At 40.6% G+C, this 24317-nt stretch overlaps 1 protein-coding gene and 1 long non-coding RNA gene across 17 annotated transcripts in view; one reads left to right on the forward strand and one right to left on the reverse strand.

Moving 5' to 3' along the window:
* Positions 1–15134, forward strand: part of NTRK2 (neurotrophic receptor tyrosine kinase 2) — a 358533-nt gene extending 343399 nt beyond the window's left edge. For all 16 annotated transcript variants that reach the window (XM_017014751.3, XM_017014753.3, XM_047423432.1 and 13 more), the window contains 2 exons: positions 8286–8444; positions 9332–15134. In XM_017014751.3, the coding sequence (XP_016870240.1) occupies positions 8286–8444; positions 9332–9517 (345 nt within the window). In that variant the 3' untranslated portion in view covers positions 9518–15134. The remainder of the gene's footprint in view (positions 1–8285; positions 8445–9331) is intronic.
* LOC105376118 (uncharacterized) lies at positions 18696–23927 on the reverse strand. The gene is made up of 3 exons (XR_001746806.2): positions 23840–23927; positions 22724–22842; positions 18696–18827 (listed from the first exon to the last, which is right to left on the reverse strand). It is a non-coding gene; the product is annotated as an uncharacterized LOC105376118 (long non-coding RNA).
* Between the last annotated feature and the right edge of the window lie 390 nt (positions 23928–24317).

The following is a 24317-nucleotide window of genomic DNA, read 5'->3' on the forward strand; positions in this document are numbered from 1 at the left end:
ACCCCACAGGACTAGTGGAGAATCAAATATGTAGAGCATTATTTTATTTTATTTTATTTTATTTTATTTTATTTTATTTTACTTTTGAGATGGAGTCTCACTCTGTCACCCAGGCTGGAGTGCAGGGGCGCGATCTCGGCTCACTGCAACCTCCGCCTCCCAGGTTCAAGCGATTCTCCTGCCTCAGCCTCCCGAGTAGCTGGGACTACAGGTGTGTGCCACTGCGCCCAGCTAATTTTTGTATTTTTAGTAGAGACGGGGTTTCACCATGTTGGCCAGGATGGTCTCGATCTCTTGACCTTATGACCCTCCTGCCTTTGCCTCCCATAGTGCTGGAATTACAGATGTGAGCCACTGTGCCCAGCTTGTTTATTTATTTTTAAGGAAGGCTCATTGAAGTATAATATGCCCATAGTATAATTCACCCTTTTCAGTACACAGTTCTGTGAGTCTTAGCAAACACGGTCACTTAACTTCCACCACAACCACGACATAGAACATTTCCATCACCTTTAGGCTTCCTGTGTGCCTGACTAAAGCAAGTCCTCCCCTCCTCTCAGTTCTATAGTTTTCTTTTTAAAATATCATGTAAAAGGAATCACCTAAGGGTTTTGAGTCTGGCTTCTTCCAAAGAAAGACATTTTTCTAATATCTACTCTTTGCAACAATATTTTGAAGTTGGCACAATTATTAGAGTGAAGAGCTGTGGAAATGTTATGTAAAAGCAAAAAGTGTAGGCAAACCTGAGGTATAATTATTATAATCATTTCTATCATTATTATTATTATTATTTCACAGTAGAAAAAATACAATCAAATTTGAATGGAAATTTTGTGTTGAATTTGCCTTATCTAGAATCCAGGTGTCAGGAGATAGTCATAATAGCTCTGTGACCCGTCCCTTCAAAACAGATGATAATTTGCCTTATTTTGGGAGAGTAGTTATTGAATGATGTAAAAAGTATTTGACAAAATATTGTTAGCATTAAGGTCCAGCACATCTTCTCTTTGACTAATCCAAAAATACTTGGCCTTGAAGTTACTAAGTCATTACCTTATGTTTGTGACCAGATTGAAAGATGTTCTAGGCTGCAAATAACAGCAGTTCCAGGAGTGGCAATAATCCATTTCCAGGGCTCAAAAGAGGGAGATGAAGCTGGTTCCAGCACTCCTCCTTACCTGCCCTGAGCTGTGTTCATTCCGGAGTGAGAGATGAGGCAGAAAAGCCTGTTTCTACCCACAAAGTATCCCCTGATTGAATAGCTACGTGCCTAGAAGCCCCTTATCACTCTTTGTAGTAGGAGAATTCTCATTTTCCTGGACGTGGTCATTGTCTGGCCACAATGGCTCCAGGTTCTTCTCCAAGGGGAAGATTTTTGTGGACATTGTTTCTTTTTTTCTGAGATGGAGTCTCACTCTGTCACCCAGGCTGGAATGCAGTGGCGTGATGTTGGCTCACTGCAACCTCTGCCTCCCGGGTTCAAACGGTTCTCCTGCCTCAGCCTCCTGAGTAGCTGGGATTACAGGTGCGTGACACCACCCATGGCTAATTTTTGTATTTTTAGTAGAGACGGGGTTTCACCATGTTGGTCAGGCTGGTCTAACTCCTGACCTCGTCATCTGCCCACCCTGGCCTCCCAAAGTGCTGGGATTACAGACCCTGTTTTTAACCTCCTTTTACAGATATAACATGTAATAAATAAATAAATAAGGTCTAGCTATTCCTTAAAGTTTAAAGGTTCATGAATTTTTAAGGAACACATCAGGAAAAACTGCTGAGACAAAGCAATGGAGCGTAGGGTGTGATGAGGAGGTCTAGGAGCCCCTTCAATATTTAATGCAACCAAAAGCCTCTGACAGCTAATCATCTCTTAATGGGGCTTGCCCTTTGGCCTACAAGTTTCTAAGGGACTAGGATGTTTGGCTTCCAAATAAGTTATCACTCACTCACTGAGTAAATACCACAAGCTGAAAGTGGCCTCCCAGGCATCATTGGTCTTTGCTAGGTGAGTTTAGAAGGTCCCAGATTGGCATTACTCACCTCTAAATCACTAGCAGCTTCAAAGCCAGAGAGGCATTTGCTTTGGGTCTGTGGAAAGGCTCCTGTCTACCAATGTGCCTCTCAGAAGCACAGAAGGGAGATGACAGAGGGAGAGTGAGTTTTGGTGGGGTATGATCCTTTGGGGAAGTAAGAGACAAATGAGAAAAGACTAAATGCAACATTTGGGTCTGGACAAGTGAGATTTGAGAGGAGATTCATAGGGAAGTAGGAATGGACAGGGAGGGGCAGTATGGAGACGAATGGATACAGTAGAAGAGAAGGGAAGAAGATGGGGACACAAGGAGGATGATAAATGCATTTTCTAAGAAGCCCAACATAGTGGGGAGAGCTAACCTGTCACCTCCTCTCTCGTCTCCACGTATACCTGGAAAACGAGTGGTGCATTCCTCGTTAACGTGTGCCAAGGATAGCAAACAACAACAACTCATGGGGAAGAACCTAGCCTGTCAGCATGAAGAGTGGTGGAATAGAGAGCTGTCTTCAATACCATTTGGTCGCCAATTCATATTTACACTTGCTCAGCAAATTCCTTCATTTCCCTAAATTCCAGTCTTCCAATTTCAAAAAATAAATTGTTCGTTAGCCACAAACAACTGAAATTTTTCACAATTTACAACCTAATGACCAGAGTGTGTACTTTGAATTTATTGAGTAAGAAATAAACTTTGTAGTCAAACCAATTAGATGTGTCCATTCTGATTTAAATATAAAATCATTGATTTCTAATGCAAGATATTTACACCAAGGGCCTTTTAGTATTTTCTTCAGGATTTATTGTCTAGAAATACCTTTCAAACAGGTAGATTTAAAGAATGTTCAGGCCTGGGTATTTTAACTAGAACGCAGTTGTTATTTTTCTCTACATATCACTATCAAAATTACGAGGTGTCATAGAAATAAATATTAAGGGCTAAAAGAACAGTTCTTTTCTTGATATATTTTAAAAACCGGATCCATTTTTTTTCAGCTTGATTTATTTTAGGCACTATGGAATTTCTTTTTGGCCTTGTGCCTCAGACATTGTTCTGATTAGCTTTGCTGGTTTAACCAAGTTGCAGTGATTAGCCCTGATGGTCATCTGGTTTTTAAAATTATGTTTTCATAGTTTAACTTCCCTCTTTAGTCTCTCTTAATTTTCTCCAGCCTCAGAAGAGATGTGATACTAGTAACTATCTTTAGAAAAATACTCCCTTATGTTATACATAATGAAGTCTTCCTAGACTTAATTCCCAGACATAATAGTTCCAAGTCTGCAACATGGACACTCCCCCTGTCTACTGTACAGGTGGCAAACCGAGACATGGGGTTTCTTATACAACTTAGAGAGACTTTATACTCCTTGTGAACCACAGTAGATTTGGCTGCATTTTGAGAAGTTATGAATTTCTTATTTGTAGCATCAAACAGATGAGACTGTTTCCATCTGTCTCATCTAAGGCTTGGTTCTATCGAGAGTTTACAGAAATGACTGGAGAATGGACAGGAAGGTAGTGAAGACTGATCTGTTTCAAGGAACACATTGAGAATTCCTCCCCCAAAGAGCAGCATTCATGGGGAACCCATTAAAGACATGGTATGCTTACCAACCCCTGCCTCATCCCCCACCAGAAAGAACTGATTCCGTGTCCATCCCTCTTGAGGCATGTGATACGTTAGGCAAAGAAAGGAGTTCCTTCTGTGTTCCCAGAGCTACACGAAGAGCACTAGAACCATCCCTGAGCTGCAGCAGGAAGGGAGAGTTTTTTCTTGAAGTGGTGGGACTTGAGCTTGCCTTCATAAAGGAGACCTTTGGGAAGTAGGGAGAAAGGGAAGAAGATCAAACTTTCTAAGAGGCATGAGTAACTTGGCCCTGGGTAGGAAGCCACCTAAGCTTGCTGGCTGAACACAGAGTGTGTGTGGAGACTGGAGAAAGCAGAAAAGCAGAGTGGTCCATCCTAATGAATACAGGATGTCCAATGGGGAAAGGTTTGGTATGTGGCTTTAGGTAAACTACTTAAACTGACTGACTTTTAGGGGCATTACTTGCACTATCCAGGCAAGTCCATGTCTGCTGTAGAGCATAACTGTTGGGTTCAAGTGAGATAATTGAATAGAAATTCTTCGTAAATGTTGAAGACTGAGTGTTGATGGATGATTACGGTGGCACTGAGGTGGTGGGTGATTCCGGAACCACGGCGTTTTTGTGCTGGAAGTAACCAAGGGCTGCCCTAACTCTTCACATTTTACCAATAAAGACAGAAGCCAGACCTGAGGGTACCTGCTCAAGCTGGTTAATAGCAGCAGCACAAGAACTAGAACTCCAGTCTCTTGGGTTGAGGAAAATAAAAATTGCAAGTCCAAGTCAACTCTCCAGATAACTGGGTTTCTCATCTTGCACCAGGTCAACCTGGTGAGTTTAGTGAAGACCATGAGACCCCATTCAACTTAATTACTGGAGAGCCCCTGAGGCCCCACAGCATATCAGGCTGAGAGCAGGAATTCTGACTCTCAGTGTCATTCCTGGGATCACATTCCATCTCACAAATATTTAAGCAAGGGCATGAGGGCAAGTTGCCAAGTAGTACGATACAAAACAAATGTCTCATTGTGTTTGTTGCTGCACAGTGTGTTGTTTGTGTGGTCCAAAAACCATCAAGTGACTATAACTAGAATGTGACAGTAATTTGTAACAACAGTGACTTTTTTGGGGGGAGGGTCTACTTTTGTGACATGCTTCAAAATTCTGAGAAAGGGTTGCAAAAGAAATGTTCAGAAATGTACTAAATGGGCTTAGAAAACTTGTGAACCCTGTCTGAACTTTTATTAGATTGTCCCACCACTCACCCATTTGACATCTGAACAAGGAAAGCATTATTTATAACAGCATGCGTGAAATCCCAGAAGGGATTCTTGAAAGAATTAGAGTGAAAAATCTGCCCCAAAGAGACAGCAAGCAGAAAATAAATGATCAGATGAGAAAACATGTAAATCAAAACGTGAATCTTTTGTTCTCTCTCTCTTCTTTAAAGGAAACAGAAGCTTTTTCTTGGCTATTAGCAATTCAGGATAGAGAACCAGTATCAGGTTTTCTATCTTGCATTGCTAATGACCAAAAAAAGTGGGTGCTGCTATCAAAGGAGCCACTTGGTTAAGGCCAAATGAAGAGTTCAGGAGAGTGACATATGATGATTCTTCTTAATGTCTCCAGAATGGCTGCTTCTGGAGTAAGTAAGAGAGTGAAGGTTCCAGAGAAGAAAGCCACACCTCAAAAGCATTAATACTTTAAGACTTAGAAAACACTTTCACAAATGCCTGCTTGAGTAAATACCTCCCAACAACATTAGGAGGTATACATTATTACTTACATATAATTATTAAACCTTGGCCACAGAGAGATTTGGCAACTAGTCCAGGTTACCCCAGTAGGAAACAGGTAAGTGAGCGATTGGAAACCAGCTATTGTCATCCACTGCATTGCAGCTGTGAATATCCAGGTAGATATGGAAATCCTGAGATCTTGCTAGATTAACACACCTCAAAGTGTATTTTTAGCTGTCTTACCTGAGACATATATAAATGGTTATCTCTCCCACAAACATACATTCAAATAGTTTAATTTACCAAAGTTAAGTTTGTTCTTTCCTGCCAAACTCCTCACATACTTTAATAAGCCTCAGTCCCTGATGGATCTCCTTGAATTGAAGAGGGTTGCAATTTACAGTACATTTGACATATTTGATCTAGGAACTTCTGGGGTTGTTAAAATAACACAACTCAGACAGCATAACAAGAAGACCAGGTCCCAGTCTTTATTTTAAGATTCCTACTTCTCTAAGCCCACTTTGACCACTGGGGTTCTATTTTATCTAACGAGAAAGAACAGCAACACCAAAATGCACAGTGGAGCTGGTTGCACCATAGCACTATGCTGACATGAACAATGATGAAATGAGCTCTTCTTTATAGGGTAGGAAGAAGGTTAAAATGAGAGAGGTAAGGTTAAAAATAAGATGTATAGCAGAAGGGATTATTTTTCCCTTTGATTTCATCTTACCCATTTTTTTTTGCATGTTAGGTAAGCAAAACAATGCCATGTTTGTATCTTAAGAGGTTCCCATAAAATGCTTGCTGTGTGGATGAAAATGGTCTGTTAAAATGTGTAGACCTCTGTCCTATCTGCACCACCCAGGCAAGGTCACATAATTGCCAGGAGCAATTTCATCATCTGTAGGCTAGAGGTGCCACCAAGAGTCCTGAGTTCTTTATGGTTTGCTCACACAATTAAATGACACCAGACGTGTATAGATGTTTTCTAAACCATATGGTACATTCCAATTATGGCTTCAGAGAATGGCAAGGAGACTAGAGATGCTTTATTCTAGGGGTTAACAATCTTTGAAAATGTGTGTGCCAAAGTGCCCAGCCTTTTCTGGCACATAAACAGAAGGGTCATTTGCCCACCTCTGCAAGGTGGCAGCAGCATCCCTGCATGGCCCAAAGCAGTCCTCTCCTTGGCATTGCCATGTGGGCTGCCCAGACCTGGTGAGATCATTCTACCCTCATACCGCAAGTCCTCCAAAGCATCTGGAAACAACAGGTCCTCTGTGTATGTCAGCAGATTCCCTCTCCCAAAGTCCTGGGCACCTGGGGGTCACAGAGTTATAAACAGGGCAGATATTTGCCAAACCAGAAATGTGCTGAAATAGCTGCACCCATATTTACTACCCACATCCTTTCTGGTTGGTCAGTGTCTGTGCCACACTGATTGCAGTTTGAGTATCGACCCTGAGGGTGACTGTTGCCACCACCTTCAGACATCAAGTAAGACCATAAGAGAAGTCTCTGTCCATTGAACACTGATGACCTGTCACTGCTGAAGGAAGAGTGAGGAAATCTAAGGCCAATGGAAGCCAACTTAGCCTTTATGAGCTTTTTGTTTATTAAAAACTGAATAGTAGAGATGGGTCACCTGAGCCAGAAGTTTTTGTCCCTATTTGTCAAATTTGGATGCATCATACAGAGAAGAATGAAATAAAATATCCTCCCCCTTTTGTACTCTTGTGCTTTCTTTGGTGCTAAGAACATCACTGGGAATCACCAAGCATGTTAGACATCTCTGACATTTCAGCCTCTTGGGTTCTGGGGTAGGGGAACATTTTCCAGACACTATTAGTTTATTTTCTTCCTTTAATAAATACTAACTGGATATTGAGATTAGAATTGGGCAGAAACTCTATGCACCATTACTCTATAAACTCAGGACCCAGAGTTGTTAGAGAGGTCCAATTTTCTGCTGTAGGATAAGCCCACCTGCTCTCAGCTGTCAGGCATACTGTGTAGCATGGTGGTGCTGGGGGGTTACCAGGATGAAAAGCAGAACCTACCGCCACAGGACTACTGTGCAGAAATCTGTTCATGGGTTTGAAATCGGGCATCCCTGACAAACCTGGAAATGAGCTTCCTAACTTTCCTCCATGAAGTAGGAAGTCATATACAATTTTACTTTGTCAAAGAAAGTTTTCTTTGCCTGTACTAATGCGATTGCTATCTGATGCCCCAGTCTCAGTGTTTTCATTAAAATGGGCATTTAAAAAATGTATTTATCTATTGTGGTAAATAATCTAAGGAGCAGTGCCCTGTAATAGAGGAAAGTCCTGAGCTTAGAATCCAAAGACCTGAGTTTTGTTTCTGTAAGCAATCTGAATCTTATTGCCTTATTTGTAGAATGAGAATAATGATGCCTGACCTGCCCATCGCTGAGTGATGGTGGAGGGGTTTGAATCAGCATCATGCACACATAAGACCTGAAAGCAGAAGGAGACTCTGGCCTTGCCAAGGAAGTAGAGTCACTGGTTGGTCATTTTGGATGCAGAGTACCTCTTTGTTCTCCTGGTCAAAGTGATCTTGTTAATTAGAAGATTGAGTCATCCTCTTAGCAGAAAGTGTGTGTATGTGTGTGTAGTTTTATTTATCCAAGGTGATCATCTACCTAATCATCATCCCTGCTCCTATCTGGTTTTGAGAGAAAGAATTGCAGATAATATTTTTTTAAATGATTTTGATCACTCTTTGCCTTCTGTCTCTGTTGCTTGAGACTGTGAAGAAGTCATATATCCTTTATGTGTTTATAAACAATTAAAACTATAAAGTGCAAATAAGGAAAGCAAACAGTGTCCCCCAGCAGCTCCCTTCCACACCTGGTTTCGGGGTGACTGATGCCTCCCTGTTGATCCCTTTCTCCCCAGGTCGGTGGCCACACAATGCTGCCCATTCGCTGGATGCCTCCAGAGAGCATCATGTACAGGAAATTCACGACGGAAAGCGACGTCTGGAGCCTGGGGGTCGTGTTGTGGGAGATTTTCACCTATGGCAAACAGCCCTGGTACCAGCTGTCAAACAATGAGGTGTGCAATGGGTCTGGCCAAGACCCTCCAGAGGGCTGAGATCCCAGAGGCATCCATTGGCTGGGGCCTTGTTTTGGGTTGGAAGACCATGTCAGGACACGATCTTATGGGCTTTGTTGGTGGCAGCACTTCCCAAGTAGCCTGCTATGTTTCTAAATTTCATGGTCAAAGTATAATCACTCTGAGAAAGCAAAGCACAGTGCTCGCTGCTATGTCCTTGCTCCTCTGGTGATGGGACTGAGGAGTCACTTTATGCAGCTCATCTGATAAATTAATAGCAGACGTAGCATTCCAGAATCCATACAGTCCAGCAAGTTCTTTAGTATTGTTCCAATGAAGTTTCAAGATTCTTTCCTTTTTGAATATTTCACCAGAACATTAACTTCTAGTGAAAAACTCAAGCATTTTGTTTTTTCTATTCTTACGCTTGCAAATATTGTTTATATTTGAGGCACAGCATCTTGATCAGGCACCGTACATCTTTTTCAGATCCATTTCTATCTTTTTAATCCAGTTCCTTTATCCAATAGCCTGAGAGGTTTCCTGTCAGTCAGTGCCTTAACACCCAGGTGACTCAGGTTCCATCTCAGACCAATAAAAACCACAACATGTGGGAGCTCCAGTGTGAGGTTTGGGACCATTCCATATAAATTATTTTTCCACCAGTTTTGTGAAATCAGAGTGGCTTGGACAAATGGATATAAGCCAATCAAAATAAACACGATATAAACTAACCTATAATAATTGCTCTCTTCCTTCTGAGAAAACAAAACCAAGAGTGGGCTTCTTTTGTAAAAGCCCTCTCTTCTGCTGTTTTTTTGCACTGACATTTCTTCGATGTGCATTGCTTTTCCTCCTGTCTCATCCTATCTTTGATCTCCATCCAGGTGATAGAGTGTATCACTCAGGGCCGAGTCCTGCAGCGACCCCGCACGTGCCCCCAGGAGGTGTATGAGCTGATGCTGGGGTGCTGGCAGCGAGAGCCCCACATGAGGAAGAACATCAAGGGCATCCATACCCTCCTTCAGAACTTGGCCAAGGCATCTCCGGTCTACCTGGACATTCTAGGCTAGGGCCCTTTTCCCCAGACCGATCCTTCCCAACGTACTCCTCAGACGGGCTGAGAGGATGAACATCTTTTAACTGCCGCTGGAGGCCACCAAGCTGCTCTCCTTCACTCTGACAGTATTAACATCAAAGACTCCGAGAAGCTCTCGAGGGAAGCAGTGTGTACTTCTTCATCCATAGACACAGTATTGACTTCTTTTTGGCATTATCTCTTTCTCTCTTTCCATCTCCCTTGGTTGTTCCTTTTTCTTTTTTTAAATTTTCTTTTTCTTTTTTTTTTCGTCTTCCCTGCTTCACGATTCTTACCCTTTCTTTTGAATCAATCTGGCTTCTGCATTACTATTAACTCTGCATAGACAAAGGCCTTAACAAACGTAATTTGTTATATCAGCAGACACTCCAGTTTGCCCACCACAACTAACAATGCCTTGTTGTATTCCTGCCTTTGATGTGGATGAAAAAAAGGGAAAACAAATATTTCACTTAAACTTTGTCACTTCTGCTGTACAGATATCGAGAGTTTCTATGGATTCACTTCTATTTATTTATTATTATTACTGTTCTTATTGTTTTTGGATGGCTTAAGCCTGTGTATAAAAAAGAAAACTTGTGTTCAATCTGTGAAGCCTTTATCTATGGGAGATTAAAACCAGAGAGAAAGAAGATTTATTATGAACCGCAATATGGGAGGAACAAAGACAACCACTGGGATCAGCTGGTGTCAGTCCCTACTTAGGAAATACTCAGCAACTGTTAGCTGGGAAGAATGTATTCGGCACCTTCCCCTGAGGACCTTTCTGAGGAGTAAAAAGACTACTGGCCTCTGTGCCATGGATGATTCTTTTCCCATCACCAGAAATGATAGCGTGCAGTAGAGAGCAAAGATGGCTTCCGTGAGACACAAGATGGCGCATAGTGTGCTCGGACACAGTTTTGTCTTCGTAGGTTGTGATGATAGCACTGGTTTGTTTCTCAAGCGCTATCCACAGAACCTTTGTCAACTTCAGTTGAAAAGAGGTGGATTCATGTCCAGAGCTCATTTCGGGGTCAGGTGGGAAAGCCAAGAACTTGGAAAAGATAAGACAAGCTATAAATTCGGAGGCAAGTTTCTTTTACAATGAACTTTTCAGATCTCACTTCCCTCCGACCCCTAACTTCCATGCCCACCCGTCCTTTTAACTGTGCAAGCAAAATTGTGCATGGTCTTCGTCGATTAATACCTTGTGTGCAGACACTACTGCTCCAGACGTCGTTTCCCTGATAGGTAGAGCAGATCCATAAAAAGGTATGACTTATACAATTAGGGGAAGCTAATGGAGTTTATTAGCTGAGTATCAATGTCTCTGCGTTGTACGGTGGTGATGGGTTTTAATGAATATGGACCCTGAAGCCTGGAAATCCTCATCCACGTCGAACCCACAGGACTGTGGGAAGGGCAGAATCAATCCCTAAGGGAAAGGAAACCTCACCCTGAGGGCATCACATGCACTCATGTTCAGTGTACACAGGTCAAGTCCCTTGCTCTGGGCTCTAGTTGGGAGAGTGGTTTCATTCCAAGTGTACTCCATTGTCAGTATGCTGTTTTTGTTTCCTTCACTCCATTCAAAAAGTCAAAATACAAAATTTGGCACAGCATGCCAACGGGAGGCTGTGCCCAGACCAAGCACTGGAAGTGTGCTTCTAGGCATAGTCATTGGTTTTGCAAAAAGAGGGCTCAAATTTAAATAGAAATTTACAGCTATTTGAATGGTCAGATATACCAAGAAAGAAAAATATTTCTGTTCCTCAAGAAAACTTGCTACCCTCTGTGAGGGGAATTTTGCTAAACTTGACATCTTTATAACATGAGCCAGATTGAAAGGGAGTGATTTTCATTCATCTTAGGTCATGTTATTTCATATTTGTTTCTGAAGGTGCGATAGCTCTGTTTTAGGTTTTGCTTGCGCCTGTTAATTACTGGAACACCTTATTTTTCATTAAAGGCTTTGAAAGCCAATTCTCAAAAATTCAAAAGTGCAAATTAACAGAACAAAAGGAAATCCAGTAGCAACTGCAGTCAAGCGAGGGAGTTGACAAGATAAACCTTACGTCCATTCAAGTTATATGCTGGCCTATGAGAGATGAGAGTTGGGTCGTTTGTTCTCTTTGTTGATGATTTTAAAAAAACCCTCTAGAATACACATAATAACATAATGAAAGCCATATCTCCATGATATATATGTGCACATATATATACATACATGTGCATGTATGTATCATATTAAGGACCCATGGTACTCTTAAAACACTGTAGAACTCTGTGACGCAGTAAGGAAGGGGCAGATTTGTACAAAAACTTTTCTAGATTCCATCAGCAAAAACCAACACAGGTTTGTCACGCTGCATGTCTGGCCAGCTAATCTCGGGGGAAAAGCTACAAGTTATTTATTTTATTTTAAGAGAATAAAGTAGGTAATAATTTAAGGGATCAAATTCAAGGAGGAATGTGCAATTTTAGAGCAAAGATTTGTTTAAGGCAAATGAGACTTTGGGAGCATCCCATTCCAGTTTTGTCTTTTTTTTCTCTGAAAGAAAAAAGCAAAAAATAAAATAAAATTCCACTTATACCTTCTGACAAGTCCCTAAAGGTCTTGAAATAAAAGGTTCTATGCAAGTGCAAAGTTTTATAGTTATTTTTATTGCTGATTATTACTATTACTATCTCTGTTGTCTTAAGAGTATGTGCTGATTTCAGAGACATCTCAAATTGAAAGAATATCAGATTGCTTTTAAAGTAGCTGAACGAGCCACAGAATATCTGAAATTATTCATTGTTGTTCCTCCACCACCCCCTTTCTCATGGTCTGATTTTTAGAAGAGTGGCATCCTCGTTCTAAAATGTAATGATCACCAAATACGGCCTTCCATCAAATTTGTGAAAACTACAACAGTATAACAGTGACAAACCTAATTCTCTAGCCCAAACCTGGTCTGACAATCATTTCCATTTAGAAGTCATTGAATAGTTTTCCAAACACTTTCCATGTGTGTTAGCAAATTATTCCTATTTTGTGTAGATGAGGACGTTGAGACTCAGAGACATTCAGAGGCACGCTAGAGGTCTCCAGCCTAGCTTCCAGCACCATTGGGACTGAATCCAAGTACTCTCACTCTGAACTTCGTGGTTCTGTCCACTAGAGACTCTAATATGCAAACAAGCAGTTCAGGAAAGAAAGCATGCTAACACATTCATGAAGCAGTATATGAAGTTAGAAGAACAAAAGGAAATACAGGAGATGACAAGCAACTGAGATATTGTGATATATAATCATGCTCTTAGCTTCAGCTAAATTCAGCTAAATTCTTGTACACTGAACCAATGTCATAATCAGGCTTATTTAGAAAACACTTTGAACTATGCTATAAAAGATTATATCAGAATTCATATTATACATGTGTTCACATCAGCGCTACCTGTGATGTTTTCATGTATTTATGTATGTGTTATAAATACTTGATTTATACATATACAAATGCACATACGTAGTGTGTTTGTGTGTTTATGTATAAATTTATAGGCACACAATAATAGAGGTAATTATAAGTAGGATGCGGTATGAATAATTTGCTTAAAATATGCTAAATAACCAAAACTGTTTAACGTCATGTTGCTGTTAGTGCTTCCATACTCCACGTGGGTAGGACTACATCACACTTTTCAACTCTGTGCAGTACTGCATGGGTGGAAGACATATTTAAGATAATGTGCTTCCCAAAACAACTGAATAAAAGCCATCCCACTACATTGAGTGCTTTCTCTGGCTCCTTGCAAAGAAAGATACTTTTTGTAATGGTCCAGGAAAGGAACATTGCTTTCTTTTTGTCTTTCAGCACATTTGTATTATGCTCACCTTGTCTCTGTCTCACTGTGACCCCTTTACACTTGAGTTCAGAGTTCAAGCATTCCAAATATAAATTGGAATGTTGGCAGCCCAGTGGCTTGAAGGCCAATGATGAGCAGTCCAAGACCCCACAGCGAGATGAGCAACTCTTAGGAATTCCCACATCCTAGAGTGAATGCACCAACTAACAGTATAGAATGCTGTCCTTTTCAAAGCGTCCTAACAGCAGGATTACCTGGTCAAGTATGGACTTTCTTTGAATCTTTCTTTTCACAAATTGGACTGCCTGTAATACCAATAACATTGTTGTATCTAACTAAATAAATGACTGCATATACACACATACCCTCAATTCTCTTGCTTCCCCATTTTCTTTTTCATCCCCTGTCTCAGGACTTTTATTTTCAATGTTGACCTTTGGTTTGGCCATATATCACTGTTATAGGAAATCTCATGAGAGGAATGGCTAGTGACCCAACTCTCCAAATGTCTAAGTTAGTAGTTACAGCTGATTTTTTATGATGCATAATTGGAATGTGGAGCCTCTGAGGTTGTGATAGCTTGTACATGAATTTCAAATGTCATTCTAAAGAATGAGGGGTGGGAGGGATTTATAGTTAGAAACGACAGTGCAGGAAGGGGTATTTTCTTGTTGTCAGGGCTGGAATGAATCACTGCTGCTCAAGTCAAAGGTTCTTGAATATCCTTAGTTTTTGCATTTCCCCTCCTTTTCCTTTGACCTTTATTTATTTAATTATGTATTTATTTATTTATTTATATACTTTTGCTCCATTCAGCACAAACACAAAGCAAAGCAAAAAAAAAAATATATATATATATATCTGTATATGTGTTGTAGGCAAAACACTGTGAATTTCACAACAACCACCACCAAGCAACTATTTTGCCATCTTAACATACATCTCAGGAGACGAAATGAGAAAAGATGGGGATGTCATTTTTTAGTCTATGCGTTTGAGGCCAGGTCCATGTTTATTTATTTCTTTAGTCTATGCATTAATGAAAATGATCCTGAGTGGAGGTTAGCTGAACGTTCAATGTACTGGAGCAAGCATCATAAAAGCTGCTAGTAGCCATGTGTTTGAACAGGAAAAATATTACAGAAAATGAAATGTAAAGGCCTATATCTTGCAGCTTGTATATCTTACTATTGCTTAAAAAATGTATAAAGCAGCTGGAAATGTTTTAAATACAAGGTCTTTGAATTAAATGTGGATTTTAAATATGTAATCCCTTGACAAATGACCAAATTATGGTGAACTATTGCTCCCTGCGTTCTTTGATCATTACCTATGACTTACAAATCTGCCTGGAGATGTGGACATTCTGCATTTGCTTCTGTATCTGGAGAGATGTTTGTATATATCCAGGCCGTATACACACACATTTCCATATCTCTCTACAGATATATTTCCCCTTCAATCGTGACCTGGTATTTGGAACTCTCCTTTTCATTTGGCTTATCTTCCTTTTAATGTGATGTCTCTGTGCTAATACTTACCAGTTCTTGTTTTGCAATCTGTTTTGAGGTCCATTGCTTTACTAAGACCCACTGCATCTTGGCTGATTTCAAAGTGACACCTGAATACAGTGTTTAAAAAAAAAAAAGTTTTGTTTGTAAATCATGTGACCAGCTTCTCTCAACCTGACATGGAAAGTCTCTTGTACTACAGTGTATTTAATAAAAATGATGTCTTACAATAAATAACATACTCCAAAAGAGAGACTAAAAATGACATGATGATTAATTTTTAAAAATGTATAGAATTTCCACAAGCATGGTGTTCTCTTTATTCTATATGTATATATGTCTGTGTTTGGTTTTGGTTTTGTTTAAAGACAGGTTCTTGTAATGTTGCCCAGGCTGGAGTGCACTGGCTATTCACAAGCATGATCATAGCTCACTGCAGACTCAAACCCCTGGGCTCAAGCCATCCTCCTGCCTTAGCCTTCTGACTCCCTGGGCTCAAGCCATCCTCCTGCCTTAGCCTTCTGACTCCCTGGGACTATAGGTGCACACCACTGCACCCAGCTATATGTATGTATTTTTAGATAGGATCACTGTAGATGCCTGTAGTGCTCATTAGTTGAAGGTAGTGAGAGTAAGTGGTTAGTCATAGAAATAAGTTTCCTGTCTGATCTATCCATAATTCTGATATTTTCAACTTACACCTTAGATAACTAGAACATCACTGTCAATTGCTTTACTTTCTGAAACAATATAAATGCCCTATCTGTACTGTCCAATATGGTAGCCTCTACCCACATGTGGCTAGTGGACACTTGAAACATGGCCAGTGTGACTAAAGAACTGAATTTGAATTTTGATTTAATTTCAATTAGCTTGTATTTAAATAGCCACATATGGCTAGTGGCTACCATGTTGGACGGCACAGAGCAAGAAGACAGAATCACCAGGGTTTTGAAAAGATTAAACCTTAGAAACATCCCAAGAGATGTGTGTATTGTGGCATCCTAGGGTTGAGGCCGCTTTGAGGATCTGAATGACTCAGGAGTATAAGTAACTGAATTAAAAATGCCTCACTCTCTTGGCCTTTCTATGCACCAGTGTTTCTGAAATCATAATGGTGGGGGAGGACAAAATTAGGGTGGCTTTTCAGGGGTCCTACGGGCTGTCTCTTTCTTACCATCAGAATGGTCTGCCCACATTCTTGTTCTCAGTATTTCACAGTTGGATTTCCCAGGGTCTGGCCTCTTCTCAACCCTCTGAGAGGCACACCAGCATCTGGGCAACATTCCTGCCATAGGCTTGGCAATAGACGCTCCAAAACTCAGAATCCTCAGAAACATTGCCTCCTGAATACCTCCTCTCAGTGGTGCAGGTATGTTTTTCTTGAGTTAAAAAAAATACAATCAGGTGAAAACTCAGCAGAGACTTGGAAAATGCAATGCCATAAAAGGGGCAAAACGACTTGTGTACATCCCCCTCAAAGAAACTGTGGATTGAAGGAGGAAAGTTTAATGACTAATGCCTTGGCAAGCCACAATCCAGTTTGGACTACTAAAGATCCTGACTTTTACCAGACTACATTTGTATATTCCTGTTATTGGTACAATTATAATGGTATCAATTTAAATTCCAAACCTGAAGCCGTGTCCCAGAGCCCTCTCTTGCTTCCCTGTGTATCCCATCTGGCCTTCCCTCTTCAAATACTCCTTCCATGCATGCATAAGGGTGCCTATTTTCTTGGATGAGAAAAATGCTCCTGAAGTATTACTATTAATAACATCATTAGAACAGACATACTTACTTTTAGAATAAACCAACAAAATGAATCCTTCTTCTGTGCCAGGGTGTTATACATGTGTATTAGTATCTTGTGGCTGCTGTAATAAATTACCACAGACTAGGTGGCTTAAGACAACAGAAGTTTAATTTCTTACAGTTCTGGAGGCCAGAAATCTGAAAGTAAGAGGTTGGCAGAGCTGCACTCCCTTGGAAGGCTCTGCGGGAGAATCGTTTCCTTACTTGCCCCAGCCATTGGTGGCTCCAGACGTTCCTTGCTGGTGGTTACATCACTCCAGTCTCTGCCTTCTTGATCAAATTACCTTCTCCTCTTCATATGTCTTCTTCCCTGGGTGTCTGCTTTTTTCTTTTCTTTTCTTTTCTTTCCTTTCCTTTCTTTTCTCTTCTTTTCTTTCTTCTTTTCTTTTCTTTCTTTCTTTTCTTTTCCTTTCTTTTTTTTTTTTTGATGGAGTCTTGCTGTATTGCCAGGCTGGAGTGCAGTGGCGTGATCTCGGCTCACTGCAACCTCTGCCTCCCAGGTTCAGGCAATTATCCTGCCTCAGCCTCCTGAGTAGCTGGGACTACAGGTGCACACCACCACGCCCAGCTAATTTTTGTATTTTTAGTAGAGACGGGGTTTCACCATGTTGGCCAGGATGGTCTCGATCTCCTGACCTCATGACCCACCTGCCCAAGCCTCCCAAAGTGCTGGGATTACAGGTGTGATGGGTATCTGTTTTATAAGGATACATGGGATTGCCTTTAGGGCTCACCCAGAAAATCCAGATAAGTGCCTTCTCTCAAGATCTTTAACTTCATCACAACTTTTGCCATATAAGTTAATATTCACAGGTTCTGGAGATTAGGAGGTGGGTATATCTTTTTTTGGAGGGGACATTACTCATCTCACTACAGATTCTTAACTCATCCAACCCTTACACCTATCCCAGGAGGCAGGTACTATTATTATTCCCAGTTTACAGATGAGAAAACTGAGTCACTAAGAGTTAAGGAAGCTGTCAAAAACTGTCAAAAGAAATTAACCAGTAAAGATAATGCTTAGTATTTGCCAAGGAGTTTCATACATTAACTCATTTAATCCTTAGTCAACTCTATGAAATTGAAGAACGCAGGGGGCTCAGCTCCAGGCAATAGGCAGAAAGGCAGGTACCTGACTGGCATAAGGAAGCCTTGAAGTTAGGGTCTGGGCTGGCCATATGACTTAGGTTCAGGGTCTGGGCTCCAGGCCACCGAGAGACTGGTATAAAGCAGTTCCGTGGCCCAGTCCTGTAGGAATGAGGTTATCAGCAGGAGCTAAAGCCAAGATTCAAAGTTCAAGGAGACTAGACAGTCTCTAGCAAATTGAACCTGGGATGTGAGGAAGGACTTTCGTCATTAGGGACAGGATGAGAATTTAGCCACTAAGCTTAAGCAAAAAGTCACGCCAGAGCCACCAGCTAGGTATTTTTGGTGCCTTCCTATGGCCCAGTGCTTAGGTTGGTGCAAAAGCAATTCCAGTCTTTGACACAACTTTGGCAAAAACCACAATTGCTTTTTGCACAACTTAATACTAATCCCACCCACTTTCACTCATTAGTCTAGGGGAGGATGAGTCTCCAGGTGAAGGGAGCTGCCTAGCAATGGGGCTCTGGAGCTAGAAAAGGGGTGATGTTAGAACTCAGATTTAGGAACGCCTCTCTTGCAATAAGATCTCTGCAAATTTGGCCATTTGCCAAACGTCAGAGTCTTTGGTAGCCTCCCATGTTTAGAGCTGGATAAGGCCTAAAGGTCCCATGCCCCATCTGCCATCTACAGGTAGTGTTTTACAATAAAAGTAAGGCTCAGACCAAATTCTTCCAAACAAGCAATGATTTATTATCAAGACCACATGTTGGCTATGTAGACCAGAAACTTCCCCTTTCTGTCTTTGGGTGAAGTCACAGCCAAAGGCAGATTCAAAAATGTGCTAATGCCAGGACCAGCCCAGCCTCTGTTGAATCAGTTGACAGGGGAGGGATACACAGAGGACCCAGGGAGCTCTGGTCACTGAAAGTGCCACTCCTGGCATTAGAGAGCTGAGCTTGCTACATTCTTCTGCCTCCTTCATGTAGGAATGACAGCATCTGTACAATATTCCTAATTCTCAATCTTCAAAATCAGTCATTTCTGCCAAAAAATAAGAAAAACTCTAATATATTTTATGCTAATTAAGACACTTTCTGATATTGATATAAAAATTTTAAATGCCAGTTAACTACTCAAGTCACTTTTCATGTGGGCTCTGTTTATGTTGATCACCTCTGGGATATGAGGTGTATTTAACGTGTACATGCACATCACACTATATACAACTGATTTTAGAGTCAGTTGCCACACAGACAATAAAACAATTTCCATAAAGACCCTTTTCTCCTATAGTAGATATGGATTTGTAGCTACCAAACCCAAATGTGCAAAATGTCACTTGCTTCATTTCCTTTAAATCAGGCTATGTCTGGTTCTAGCCCATATCCTGCAGGAGCAAAATCAGCCTTAAGCATCACTTGGCGTGCCTCCCTTTCATAAGGTACCCCATGAATCCCAAGGCCCGTTGATACCTAGGAAATATGAGAAGGGTCTCTAATGTCCTCTCCATCATGATCTAGTGGCTCTGGTGCCACAACTGAGAGCTCTGTGTCTAGGACAGAATGTTCCCAGACACATCACAGCCATTTCCCCAAAGTCTACCTCTTCCCTGTGCAATTTGAGGACTCCACACCGACCAATATCTCTAGGCTTGGGAAAATCTCTGTTACAAATCCTACCTCTACTCTCCACCCTTTCCTTTTCCCTAGCTGAATCATCTCCTAAATACATGATTAGATCATTGTTCAGCCTTTTTTTTTTTTTTTTTTTGAGATAGAGTCTTGCTCTGTCACCCAGGCTGAAGTGTAGTGGCACGATCTCAGCTCACTGCAATCTCCGCCTCCCAGGTTCAAGTGATTCTCCTGCCTCAGCCTCCAGAGTATCTGGGACTACAGGTGCAGGCCACCATTCTCTGGCTGATTTTTCTATTTTTAGTAGAGACAGCATTTCACCATGCTGGCCAGGCTGGTCTTGAACTCCTGACCTCATGATCTGCCCGCCTCGGTCTCTCAAAGTGCTAGGATTACAGGCATGAGACACTGTGTCTGACCCATTGTTAACTTTTTATATTATTATGACAATGAAAGTGCTATTTGGAGCTGAGGCATACAGTAAACCATGACTATTTTCCTTTTCTGTATTTTGTTTTCTTAGGAGTTAGTAATTGACTTTTGTTTGTTTGCTGTCTTAGTTTTCTAATTATCGTTATTCAAACCCAGGCTCTTAGCTATTTGTCTAAATTTCCTCTCAAAACATTCCAGTGCATCATGTATTTTACCCATTCAATCCACCTGGACAATGTCTCCTGTAGCCTTCTCATCTGATGCAATCTAGACATATGACCTCCCAACCTGTTGCAGAGCCATCATCTGGGATCTTTCTCTTCCAGAACTTGGACTTTTCCCGTTTTTGTTCTGCATGTATCTCCTTCCTTCCTGCCTCCACTATTCTATGTCTTCCTTTTCTTGGTTTACCTCTTGATTTGGTGGAACTCATCCTCCAATAGCTTTCTAAGAAAAGGCAAACAAGAAATTTTTGGAGACTCATTGTGTCTGAAAATGCTTTTATTGTACCCTGAAACTTAACTAACAGTTTGCCTGAATATAGAATATTAGTTTGAATTTTTTCTTAAAATTTTTGAAGGCATATATTGATTGTCTTCTAACTTTAAGTGAGGCTGTTGAGAGGTCCAAAGTGTCCTGATTATTGATTTCAAAAATGTAATCCTTTTTTTAAATCTGGAAATTTTAAAAATCTTTTCATATTTAGTATTCTGAAATTTTACGAAGATGTGTCTTAGGTTTACGTTAATGCACTGTGCTGGATACTTCAATGAGCTGTTTCCATCTAGAAACTCATTTTTTTCAGTTCTGGGAAATTTTCTTGAATTATATTGTTGATTAATTCTTCTCTGTGTTTTCTCTCAGGAAATTCTATCATTTAAATACTAAACCACCCTCTTGGACTGGACTTCAAATTCTTACTTATGTCTTCAATTTTCTAGGAGAACTTTTAAAAATTTATTTTGAGTTCTGTCATTCTCATTTTTTTCTTTAAAAATGACTTTTCATTTCACTTAGAATAAAACTTGAATTCCCTGTCATGGTCTACAAGGTCACAAAAGATAGTGCTGTTGAAAATGTCTGAAACTTCTCCTCACACCATATTTGCCTTCTCTCACCTATATTCCAATACCTTTCATCACTCAAGAATTTTGCATATTTTATTTCCTCTTCTGGAAAATCTTTTGCTCCAACTTTTTAATGGACCTTTTTCATATTGCAGATTTTGCAATATCCTTTTTTAAGAAGACTTCCATAACCTCATAAACAAAATATTCTTTCCTGTTATTCTCTTCCTAGTACTCAGTTTTCTTTCTTTAAAGTCTTTATTAATTCTTTCAGTAAGGGTGTGTAAGTAGAAAACTCTTAGTTTTTCTCTGCATGGAAAGGTGCTAGTATAGCTGAAAATGGAATCCTGGCTCAGCAGTCACTTTCCTCCAGCCTTTGGAAATATTACTTTCATTGTTTGGCATTGTTTGTTATGAAAAGGTTTCTGTCAATATTCTCATTCCTCTTTAGATCATCTGCCATTTCTTTCTAGTAGCATTTTAGATTTTCTCTTTGTCTTTCATATTATTTAGTTTCATTAAAATGTGTGTAGATATACATTTTTTTTACTTCTTATGTGGGACTTAGTTTCAATCTCAGGACTTGTGTCATTTTTCAGTGCTGTTTCATCCCACCATTCTCTTTTGGATATATTGCTCAAGGGCATACTATGTTTTTTCTTCTAGAACTTGAGGTAGACATGTGTTGGAGCTCCTCATTCTCTCCTTCATTTCTCCTCTCTTGTTATTTGCCTTTGCAGCATTTAGGGATTTTTCTTCAGAGAAGCCTTTCAGACCTCTTGTTTTCTCATAAGTTTTGTCTATTCTGATGCTTAATTTACTGAGTTTACCTCTTCTTTCATTTACTGTATTTTTCATTCTTAGAATTTCTATTTGGATCTTTTTCAAAATTGCCCAGTCCTTTTTCAAAATCTTAGTCATTTCATAATGTCTCATGGAGTCATTTCCTAGCTACACTTCTTTGCACATTTTAAATACGTTGAGTTGAAAGTCTCCATCAGGTTGTTCTAGTCTCACTAGGTAGGGGTTGTAGTAGGCTTAATGATAGCCCCCAAAAAAGGCATTCCACATTCTAATCCCTGGGACCTGGGGATACTATACAGCAAAAGAGAAAATATCACCATACGTGGGGAAAGATGTGACTAAAGGGAGGACCTTAAGAAGAGGATTTTATCCTGAATTATTCAGGTGGATCCTAAATGTAATCACATGTATCCCTATAAGAAAAATGCAGCAGGCATTTTGAGAAACATTGAGGAGAGTGTGATGTAAAGACCAAGGCAGGGATTAGAGTGATGTTACTATATACCAATAAATACCTGGAGCCACTGGAAGCTGGAAGAGGCAAGGAATGGACTCTCCCCTAGAGCCTTCAGAGGGAGTGTGCTCCTGTTAACACCTCGATTTCAGAGTTCTGTTATTTTAAGCTACCCAGTTTGTGGCCATTTGTTATAGCAGTCACAGAAAACTAGTACGGCCATTAATTATCTAATTTTTAAATCTGACTAGTCTAACCTTCAGGTTTTGTCATTTCTGTTCTGTTGGTGTGCCTTCAGCGAGAGTTGTGTTTTCCCAGAAATCTTGTCTATACCTAAACATTATGGAGTTATCCCAGGTGACAGCTTAACATTTTTTCCCTCCCTGGGAGCTGCAGGTTTGTATTGTTCCTGGTCTGTTTTGGTGTTGTATCAGCACAGAACCACACAACACAGAGTAGTGTGAATTTGGCCTACATCCATGCATAGTGTAGTATGGGTTTCTGATCTGTTGAGAGTGACTGTATTTCCACCCTGTAGTGAATTCTTACCATTTTATGTTGTCTTGATATCCATTTTGAATACAAGTTTTAACTTTCTTAGACCAGAAACAGGGCTCAGTCAACCTTGACACAATTTCCAGTTCTACACCGCACCCAAATGGCTCAAGCTGGTGGACAGAAATAAGAATTTAGGAGCATCTCTCTTACCTAGAAGACTGGGCTCCCTGCTTTCTTACAGCTTCCTTTAAATGGACCATCAGGCATTTGCCCATGAATTTAAAGTACTCCATTCCCTATTCCCTTATATGTGCTGCTAATCGCTAGATGTGCTCTCTCTCTTCCTGACTCATCATTCTCATCATTCCTGGGTTGATTGCAAGACCCGGGGATGGAGGACTGCTCCCCTGAATTATTATTCCTTCCTTGTCCACAATCTGTAAATAAAACTCTCCGAACTTGTTTTCTGTTGTGCTGGGTATTGAAAGTGCACCTTCCATCTGAAGAACTAGGGGCTGCCCCAGGCTGGCCTTTCCCCAGGATGCCAGGTAGAACACAAGGTCAGTCTCCCAGTGCTAGAGCCATGGTCAGGCAGGTATAAAGTGAACATGGGTCAGATAAGAGCCACAAGGGCATCTGTGAGTAGAAACAAGTTTTCTTTGTGAACCCCTGGTGACAGTTTGGGCAACTAGGTATGAGGTTGTTCACCAGGTTAAAGAAATATCCCTTAAAGGCACTGTAAATGCCATATCCAGCTCCCCTTCATTTTTCATTTAGGCAAAGTTGCTAACTTCTCTGGTACTGGGACCCCAATTTAGCCAAGAGCTCTCTAAACACAATCATAGATCAAGGAGGCCATCATGCTTCTTACTAACTTCCTGAGCAGGTAAACAAAGTTCTCATAGTCTCTCTTCATTGATGTGGCACCTTGACTTTATACAAAAATCCTAGTCCTGACACCTAATCCATGAGCTACTTATGACTCCCGCCACAAAACTGTCTGTCTACTCTTAATACCCCTTTGGGTCACAAGGATTTATCTCTAAGACTTTAATTTGGGTTTTAGTTTCATTTGGCGTGTGGAGGTTTTTCTTCTTTTAAATTTTTTTTGTTATGTTTTATCAAGCATATGTATGTGTTCATAGCAAGATACAAGAGTTTACACACCTGTTCTGTCTTCCATCTTCCCTGGAAATCTCAAAGCTTCCTTCTCCAATTTGAAGGAGGGTTCACTTCACATAGTCTTACTTTTCCGGCAAGGTGAATATTAGAACAGTTTTCAGTTTTCACTGTGGATCAGAATCACTCGGGACAATTTGAAAGATACGGAAGCCAATGCTTTACCCTGAAAAAGTTAGTTTCTGTTATATGGTGGGCCAAGGCATAGATATTTTCTGCACTGTCTTTAGGTGTTTCCACGGTGCAGCCACAGTAGAGAAATATTGTCCTAAGGGATAATAAGGCTCAGCTCCAGAATTCCAACCATTCAAATAAAAACACACTGGGCTGGACCTAGGACTTGACTCAGCAGAGAATGGGCCAACCAGAGAAGAGCCTAGAACTTTAGTTCAAGAATGCTACATACAGCACTAGATAAATCGGAGGAGCAGGTCATCAAGTATCCAAGGAGTTGAGCAGTGAACCA

Source organism: Homo sapiens, chromosome 9 (assembly GCF_000001405.40).
Source record: "Homo sapiens chromosome 9, GRCh38.p14 Primary Assembly".
Lineage (NCBI taxonomy): Eukaryota > Metazoa > Chordata > Mammalia > Primates > Hominidae > Homo > Homo sapiens.